This window comes from Homo sapiens, chromosome 1 (assembly GCF_000001405.40).
Source record: "Homo sapiens chromosome 1, GRCh38.p14 Primary Assembly".
Taxonomy (NCBI): Eukaryota; Metazoa; Chordata; class Mammalia; order Primates; family Hominidae; genus Homo; species Homo sapiens.
This window is the reverse complement of record NC_000001.11, coordinates 209,125,487-209,135,500: the sequence shown is the minus strand read 5'-3', so window position 1 is coordinate 209,135,500 and position 10,014 is coordinate 209,125,487. Positions and strand designations below refer to the sequence as shown.

The window sequence follows — 10,014 nt, the reverse complement described above, 5'->3', positions numbered from 1 at the left end:
TTCCTCAAGCCAGCTGATTCTTTCCTCCACTCTGTCCTATTGATGAGCTTTTTGAAGGCATTCTTGTTTCTGCTACAATGTTTTTTATTTCTAGCATTTCCTTTGATTCTATCTTAGAGTTCTCATCTCTCTGCTTGCATTATTTATCTGTTCTTGCAAGTTGTTCCCTTTTTTCATTACAGTCCTTAGCATTTTAATATTTATTTTAAATCCCTCTTCTAATAATTTCAATATCTCTGCCATATCAAGTCTGGTTCTGACATTTGCTCTGTTTCTTCAATGTTTGGGGTTTTTTGTGGGTTTTTTTTTTTTTTTTTTGTCTTTTAGTGTGACTTGTAATATTTTATTGAAAGCCAAATATGAGGTATTAGTGAGACAGGCATAAGACAAGGTGGTCACAGGAGAATAGAAAATTCTAAGCAGCAGTTTCACATGACTAGCAAAAGGAAACTTGAAATAGCTGCATGAGATAGGGCCTGATAAGACTGAAAACGAGGATGTGGACCAAGCTGGCTAAGACTGAGTGGACTCAACATGGCGCTGGATTTGACCTAGGTTTCACCTAGGACCTAATTATATGCACATTAGCATTGTAAATCACATACCCACCAGCGCCAAGACAGTTCCAGGAGCATCCATATTTGGATGTTAAAATGGGTAACACCGCAGTTCCAAGAAATCTTCACCTCTTTCTGGGAATCTTCAGGAATGTTTCACACCTTGGTTAAAGAAGCCCAAAAAGTTATAAACCCCAAACCCCACTGGGAGTGGCTCTTTCATGAGTATGCCCACATTCTCTTTTCTTGAATGTGTCCTTTTCGCTTTGCAATAAGTCTCTGTACTTTCACTCTTTTCCAACTCATCCTTAAATTCCTTCTCACAACAGTGTCAAGAGCCTGGACACTGGCTAGGCCAACGTCCCCCCTGCATTCGGGGACCTCCCCCAGCCCACCAGTATCACCAGGTAGAAAGAAACCAAGGTAAGTAGGCCTTTAGTAAGGTTTTATGTTTATCTTGCTAAGGCTTAGGCTGTGTTTATTATTTGTTGTAACTGTCGATGTCAGAGTCTAAAATTTACTTCAGTATCCTTGTTGTTTGTCTCCCCTCTGATCTTTTGGTTTCTCTATAGAGACGTCTTAAATAAGGTCTGAGACATGCAGTTCTTTCGGTTGTATTTTCCCATTATTATACTGGAGCCCCATTGAAGTGGTGGTAAAAGGTTGGGGGAGTGGAGGCCAGTGTTCTACAGCCCTGTGATCAGGTTTCAGTCTCTTAGTGAGCCTGTGCCCCTGGGCTGTGCCCTTATCAAGAGCTTCTCAGTTTTGTTCTGCGTTGTTTCCCCTCTTAGGTGAGACAGGAGGGCCAGAGGGGGCTGGCTTTGGGTATTTCCCTTCTTGAGGTCAGTTAGACTCTGATGAAAATCCAGTAGGTTAGGTAGCCTCTGGTAAAATACTGTCTCTTGCACGTGGGCCTTGTTAAGGAGAGCAGAACGCTCTGGCATCCTTCACAATGGTGACTTTTTCCATCCCCAAGAAACACAAGGGAATTTTTCTCTGATGTCCACTGTGAGAACCTGGTAGAGTTTTACCTCCAAGTGGTAAAACTCACAAAATTGTGGGTGCATACACCTAAAACCGAGCCCCCTCGGAGTTTTAAATTCTCAAACATGTTCATCCTGAGCCTCCAGCAATTCATTAGTTATACTTTTAGGTTTTCTTATTCCAGTACTGGTTCCTGGGGAGGTGTTCATTCTTGGGCGTTTGCTCCAGTATATTGTGATTTCTTGTATCTGCCTTTCTGTCTCTCCAATTCCGGGGGCATCAGTTTGCACTGTGGTCCCCATTCTCTGATGGATCTAAGAAGAGTTGCTGATCTTTAGTTTGTTCACCTTTTATCTTGTGAGGACAAAAACGACAACTTCCAGGCATCCTATATGCCAGATTTGAAATCATTTTCCTCAAATGCTGTCATTTTTAAAAGCAGATATTTTATTTCCTTCAAATAGTAAGTAGCTTTAAGTTTTAATTTCCAATTGCTTCTGCATCTGAAGTCTTTGGGGATCAGTTTCTAGTTTCTGTTCCTTGTTATTGATACAGAACACCTGGGCCCCTGGCTAAACCCCACCCTTAAGCCTGGAACCGCAGTCTTAAGTGAAAACAGCTGACCCCATTTTTCTGCCCAAATGTTGCCTTTTTGGCCTGCCCCGCCCCTATCCTATGCCCATAAAAAGACTTCAGCTGGCAGAGTAACACAAGCGGCTGAGCGGCTGGGATACAAGTGGTTGAGCAGCAAACAGAGAAGCAGCAACTGAGTGTCCGAGACCACAGATAGACACGGCTAACTTCAGATGGTGCAGCTTCAGGGAAAGATCACCTTCTTCCTGCACCATCCCTTTTCCAATTCTCCATCCCACTGAAAACTGCTTTTATTACCCAATAAAATCCTCCACACACACTACCCTTCAACCCATTCATGGGACCTCATTCTTCCCAGATGCTGGACGAGAACTCAGGTGCCGAGAGGGCAGGGGCTCGGAGGCTGCTGCGGGGCCCACACAGAGCCTGTTCTCACCAGAGAGAAGTGACCCCCGGTTCCAGTATTCACTCACTCCAGTTCCCGCACTCGCTTGCTTGTGTAGCAGGACAAGCCGCAGACAAAACCCCTCAGACACCGAGTTAAAGAAGGAAGGGTTTTATTCGGCTGGAAGGTTCAGCAAGACTCACGTCTCCAACAACTGAGCTCCCCAGGTGAGCAATCCCTGTCCCTTTTAAGGGCTCACAACTCCAAGGGGATAGAGGGTCGTGATCATTGAGCAAGCAGTGGATACGTGACTGGGGGCTGCATGCACCGGTAATCAGAACAAAACAGAACAGGACAGGGATTTTCACAATGCTTTTCCATACAATGTGTGGAATCTATAGATAACATAACGGGTTAGGTCAGGGGTCGATCTTTAACCAGGCCCAGGGCTGCGCCAGGCTGTCTGCCTGTGGATTTCATTTCTGCCTTTTAGTTGTTACTTCTTCTTTCTTTGGAGGCAGAAATTGGGCATAACACAATATGAGGGGTGGTCTCCTCCCTTACTTGCACGCTCCCTCTCTCAAGAAGGGGCCAGTGGCAGGCTGAGTGAAATGAGCCATTTCAGTTCTTGCCCACAAAGGGGGTCAAGGTCAAGGGAACGCTCCCATCTCATCATTTCTATTGGTTCTCATTTCTTTTATTTATTTATTTTTTTGAGACAGGGTCTTGCTCTGTCATCAGGCTGGAATGCAGTGGTATGACATGGCTCACTGCAACCTCTGCCTCCCAGGCTCAAGTGATGCTCCCAGCTAGTCCCAAGTAGCTGGGACTACAGGCATACACCACTACGCTCAACTAATTAAAATTTTTTTTTTGTAGAGATGAGGTCTCACTATGTTGCCCAGGCTGGTCTTGAGCTCCTGGGCTCAAACAATCATCCCATCTCGGCCTCCCAAAGTGCTGGAATTATAAATGTTAGCTACCATGTCTGGCCTTAGTTCTTATTTTTGGTAACTTGTTTCTTTATGTAATCAAAAATCTTTCTGTGCCCCCCATGGCCCTTAAAAATTATTTGTGTATATTCTCAAAGGCCTATGTCAACAAAAAAGAGGCAAACTCTGTAAAATTTGTAAAGAGGTTTATTATGAGCGAATCATGAGTGATCAAGGTGCAAGGCATAGTTTTAAGAGGTCCTGAGAACATGTACCCAAGGTGGATGGGTTGCAGCTTGGTTTTATACGTTTAAGGGAGACATAAGACATCAATCAATACATGTGAGGTATACATTGGTTTGGTCTGGGAGGGTGGGACGCTTGAAGTGGTGATTCTAGGTCATAGGTGGGTTCAAAAATTTTCTGATTCACAATTGGTTGAAATAATTAAGTTATTATCTAAAGGCCTGGAGTCAATAAAAAGGAGTGTCTGGGTTAAGATAAGGGATTGCGGAGACTAAGGTTTTTATTATGTAGATGAAGTCTCATAGGTGGCTGCTCTTAGAGGCGATAGATGGCAAATGTTTCCTATACTGATCTTAAAAAGGTACCAGACTCTCAGCTAATCTCTTCAGGATCGGGAAAAGATCTACAAAATGTAAATTTCCCCCATAAGAGATAGCCTGGCAGGGCCATTTCAAAATATCACAAATATATTTTAGGGTAAAATGATTTCTTTCAGGGCCTGCTATCAGTCATGTGATGCTATACCATAGTCAGGTCTGAATTTGGTATCTTATTGCTACAAAGAGTCTGTTTTGTCAGTCTTAAGATCTCTGTTTTAATGTTAATGCTGCTCAGTTGTTCCTGAATTCCAAAGGAAGGAGAGTATAATGAGGCATGTCAGATCCCCCCCCCCCCGCCCGCCACCACCGCTGCCCCCGCCCCGACCCCCGTCGGCATAGTGTGAACTAGTTAACTAGTTTTCCAGGTTTCCTTGGGAATCCCATTGGCTTAGAGGAGATGTCCATTCAGTTGGTGCAGGGCTTAGGATTTTATTTTTGGTTCACATTAGGATAAAGATACCTCCCTCCAGAGTTGACTTGAGTTTACTTTTTCAGGTACCTGCAGAGAGTACAATCAGACTTGACATTTTTGGACCACCCCAATTATGCAAATTTGAGGAATTTCCACTGGACTATCAGAACTTGTTTTATAGCTACTTTTTCTGTCTCCCTCACCACCATTCTATCCTCTCTTCCATTTGTCTTTATCTTTTGATTTCTTTATCTCTCTCTCATCACCATTCTATCCTCTCTCCCATTTTTCCCATCAGGATGTGGGAGATTTATTTCTAAGGAGTCACTATCCTGAGTGCCCTGAGTGGGGATAATTCTTTGACATCCTGACTTAGCGTGTGTGTGTGTGTGTGTGTGTGTGTATGAAAGGAAAAGGGGGTTGTTCTATATGACTCTCTACCTTGGTTAGGACTTCAGTTCCTGGTTTGCAGTGGGATAAAGATACCTCCTACGTAGAGAATCATTTGAACTATTTTTTTTTATGTAGAGAATCCACCAACACTTTAGATCAGTTTTGCAGCCATTTCTTCTTCTTTTTTTGTTTTTTTTTGAGGTGGAGTATCACTCTGTCACCCAAGCTGGAGCGCAGTGGCATGATCTTGGCTCACTGCAACCTCTGCGTCCCGGGTTTAAGTGATTCTCCTGCCTCAGCCTCCCGAGTAGATGGGATTACAGGCACTCACTACCATGCACAGCTAATTTTTGTATTTTTTGTATTTATTTTATTTTATTTTATTTATTTTATTTTTTTTTTTAATTTTTTTTTTTTATTGATCATTCTTGGGTGTTTCTCACAGAGGGGGATTTGGCAGGGTCATAGGACAATAGTGGAGGGAAGGTCAGCAGATAAACAAGTGAACAAAGGTCTCTGGTTTTCCTAGGCAGAGGACCCTGAGGCCTTCCGCAGTGTTTGTGTCCCTGGGTACTTGAGATTAGGGAGTGGTGATGACTCTTAACTAGCATGCTGCCTTCAAGCATCTGTTTAACAAACACATCTTGCACTGCCCTTAATCCATTTAACCCTGAGTGGGCACAGCACATGTTTCAGAGAGCACAGGGTTGCGGGGTAAGGTCACAGATCAACAGGATCCCAAGGCAGAAGAATTTTTCTTAGTACAGAACAAAATGAAAAGTCTCCCATGTCTACTTCTTTCCACACAGACACGGCAACCATCCGATTTCTCAATCTTTTCCCCACCTTTCCCCGCTTTCTATTCCACAAAACCACCATTGGTCATCATGGCCCGTTCTCAATGAGCTGTTGGGCACACCTCCCAGACGGGGTGGTGGCTGGGCAGAGGGGCTCCTCACTTCCCAGTAGGGGCGGCCGGGCAGAGGCGCCCCTCACCTCCCGGACGAGGCGGCTGACCGGGCGGGGGGCTGACCCCCCCACCTCCCTCCCGGACGGGGCGACTGGCCGGGCGGGGGGGCTGACCCCCCACCTCCCTCCCGGACGGGGCAGCTGGCCGGGCAGAGGGGCTCCTCACTTTCCAGTAGGGGCGGCCGGGCAGAGGCGCCCCTCACCTCCCGGAAGAGGCAGCTGGCCGGGCGGAGGGCTGACTCCCCCACCTCCCTCCCGGACGGGGCGGCTGGCCGGGCGGGGGGCTGACCCCCCCACCTCCCTCCCGGACGGGGCGGCTGGCCTGGTGGGGGCTGACCCCCCACCTCCCTCCCGGACGGGTCGGCTGCCGGGCGGAGAGGCTCCTCACTTCCCAGACGGGGTGGCTGCCAGGCGGAGGGGCTCCTCACTTCTCAGACGGGGCGGCTGCCGGGCGGAGGGTCTCCTCCCTTCTCAGATGGGGCGGCTGGGCAGAGACGCTCCTCACCTCCCAGATGGGGTCGCGGCCGGGCAGAGGCGCTCCTCACATCCCAGACGGGGCGGCGGGGCAAAGGCGCTCCCCACATCTCAGACGATGGGCGGCCGGGCAGAGACGCTCCTCACTTCCTAGATGGGATGGCGGCCGGGCAGAGACGCTCCTCACTTTCCAGACTGGGCAGCCAGGCAGAGGGGCTACTCACATCCCAGACGATGGGCGGCCAGGCAGAGACGCTCCTCACTTCCTAGACGGGGTGGCGGCCGGGCAGAGGCTGCACTCTGGGCACTTTGGGAGGCCAAGGCAGGCGGCTGGGAGGTGGAGGTTGTAGTGAGCCGAGATCACGCCACTGCACTCCAGCCTGGGCACCATTGAGCACTGAGTGAACCAGACACCGTCTGCAATCCCGGCACCTCCGGAGGCCGAGGCTGGCGGATCACTCGCTGTTAGGAGCTGGAGACCAGCCCGGCCAACACAGCGAAACCCCGTCTCCACCAAAAAAATACGAAAACCAGTCAGGCGTGGCGGCGCGCGCCTGCAATTGCAGGCACTCCGCAGGCTGAGGCAGGAGAATCAGGCAGGGAGGTTGCAGTGAGCCGAGATGGCAGCAGTACAGTCCAGCTTCGGCTGGGCATCAGAGGGAGACCATGGAAAGAGAGGGAGAGGGAGACCGTGGGGAGAGGGAGACCGTGAGGGAGAGGGAGAGGGAGAGGGAGAGCTAATTTTTGTATTTTTAATGGAGATGGGGTTTCACCTAAAATGGAGACTCCTGACCTCAAGCGATCTGCCGTCGGCCTCCCAAAGTGTTGGGATTACAGGTGTGAGCCACTGCACTCAGCCAGCCATTTCTTCCTGATTGTCAAATGCACTTAGAGTAACAGTAGTGTGGAGTGTCAGCTTAATCCTCAAGTTCTCAACTCTTCTTCTATTTTAAACCTAGTAGTCACTTTGTATCCTTTGGTGCCTTTGCTATTTAGTATTTAACAAATATTTTACCTAGAATTTTCTTTCTTTCTTTCTTTTTGAGACAGAGTCTTGCTCTGTCACCCAGGCTAGAGTGTGGTGGCGCGATCTCGGCTCACTGCAACCCTTACCTCCTGGGCTTGTGTGATTCTTCCACCTCAGCCTCCCAAGTAGCTGAGACTACAGTCGCCCATGACCACACCTGGCTAATTATTATACTTTCGATAGAGATGGTGTTTTACCATTCGGCGTTTTACCGTTTTGGCCAGGCTGGTCTTGAACTCTTGACCTCAAGTGATCCGCCCGCTTCATCTTCTCAAAATGCTGGAATTACAGATGTAAGCGACCGTGCCCAGCCTAGAATTTTATTTTTTTCTGCCAAAAAATTAGTTCAAATGACTAGTCAGAACCAGACATCTCTGATCTTCTATATGTTTTCAAATTGTGACTTGATGACTCTTTTGGACTTTTGTTCAAAGGTCTGTCAGCACAGTTTTTATACCAATCCTAAACATCCATTTTCAAAATCACTTGAACTTGGAATTCTTTAGAGCAGAGTCTAAGCCAGTTTTTTCGTTACTGATATTTATTCTTATCCATTGGACTGGTTCTGGTCCTGGGTAGAAAATAGGGGAGGGGTGGCTAGTCCTGCTTAGGTGCATGGTCATGTAGGCATGGGATTTCAAACTGTTCATTTATACACATATTTCATCCTCTCTTCCCTCAGGTTTTACTCCACTGGGGATTTTTTAATTTGGTAGTCATCATTGACCTTCTAGTTTTCTTCCTCTCCCTCACATTGACATTATCTCTTGTGTGCTAATTCTTTATAGTTTTCAGACTATTTACTTATTTACTATTTTATCTCTCTGCATGACATTAGGAATCTAGAGTGCCTAGATCCAAAACATATCTGTTCCACTTCCTAAGCCAAATCCCCTTGTCAAGCCATAAACAATGACATTTATTGAGTACTTATTGTGTGTGCTAAGTGTTTTACTCATTATCTTGCTGAACCTTTATTTTTCTCTTATGTATAATTATTTTGGTTATTTTTAACATTAGTATTATGTATGGAAAAAAACTGTGTCTTAGTCAGCTCGGGCTGCCATAATAAAATATGATAGACTGATGGTTTAAACAGCAGAAATTTATTTCCTCACAGTTCTCTAGGCTGGGAGTCCAAACTCAAGGTGCCAGCATGGTTGATTTCTGGTGAGGGCTCTCTTCCTGGCTTGCAAATGGCCACCTTCTAGTGGTCATATGTGTTTACAGAGCCTTTCCTTGGTGCCTGTGTGTTCAGAGACAGACAGAGAGAGAGAGAGAGAGAGAGAGAGAGAGAGAGAGAGAGAGAGAGCGCGAGCGAATTATCTAGTGTTTCTTCTTGTAAGGGTACTAATTTCATCATGAGTGCCCACCCTGATGACCTCACCTAAACCTAATTATCTCCCAAAGGCCCCATCTCCAGATACCATCACACTGAAAGTTAGGGTTTCAATGTATGAATTTATATGGGAAACAGGAGGGAAAGACACAGTTTAGTCCACTGCAAACAATCTAACAGATTTTGCACATTTTAATATTATCATTTTATTGTCTTTTTTTTCTCTCTCTCCTTTCAAATGTACTTTCTCTCTTTAAACCAGTTTGAATCTTGGGAAGTCATTTAATCCAAAAATATTCTTTTCACAGATGAAGAAACTGAGACTCAAAAAGGTTAATTAAAATTTTAAAAATCATATAGGTAACTTGTGGAAGAGTTAATTTAGACTTACGGGGAGTCACAAAAATAGTGCAGAGTTCTTGTAACTCAGATTCCCCTAATGTTAACATTTCATGTAGCAGTGGTATATGATCAAAAATAAGGTATTAACCCTGTTAATTAAGCTATAGATTTTCTTCAGATTTTACCAGTTTTTCCATGGATTTCCTTTTACTATTTCAGAATTCAATCTGGTATTCCACATTGCATTTAGTTGTTATATGTCCTTAGTCTCCTCCAATTTCTGCTAATTCCTTAGTTTTCTTTTGTCTTTCATGCACATGCTACTTTTGGAAAACTCTGGTTAAGCTATTTTTTATAGTATGTCCTTACTTTTTGTTTCTCTGATATTTTTTCATGATTAGATAGAGATGATTCATTATTAGGGAAAAATACCACAGATATGATATGCCCTTTTAGAAAATCATATTGGGGAATGCTTGATGCTGATATGTTCTACAGCTGGTGAGGTTGACATTTATCACTTGGATAAGGTGGTATCTTTCAGGTTTCTCCATGGTAAAGGTGCTATTTTCCTTTTTTAATTAATACATATTTGGTGGGAGATACTTTGAGATACTCCAATTATTTATGGAGGATGGTGTATCCATTAAGAGATGAATGTGCTTAATAGTCATTGTTCTTGCTTTGTGTTGAGCACATCCATTTTTTCCTTCTCTTTTTGTTTCTCTCTAATCTCAGAGAAGGACTTTGTTAAGGGTCATGAACAAAATGACCCAAAGGAGACAACACAGACCAACTCTTCCCTTCACCTCTTTCACTGGATAGGGAATGCTTTGATGGGAAAAGTACAGAGATTGTTGTGGTGTTTCTCTGTGTTCTTTTTTCCTCTCCTCTGTTAGAATAGAAGTTGGGGCAGACTCTGTTAACTGAGGAAGTTCCCTGTCAGGTTTAAGAGTGATAGAGGGACCAGAAGAAAGGAA

General features: G+C 45.3%; 1 long non-coding RNA gene across 2 annotated transcripts in view; it reads left to right on the top strand.

Annotated features, from left to right (window-relative positions):
- Positions 1-2,252: 2,252 nt before the first annotated feature.
- LOC107985255 (uncharacterized) overlaps positions 2,253-10,014 on the top strand; it is a 313,794-nt gene continuing 306,032 nt past the window's right edge. For both annotated transcript variants that reach the window (XR_001738442.2, XR_001738441.2), the window contains exon 1: positions 2,253-2,747. This is a non-coding gene — a long non-coding RNA (uncharacterized LOC107985255). The remainder of the gene's footprint in view (positions 2,748-10,014) is intronic.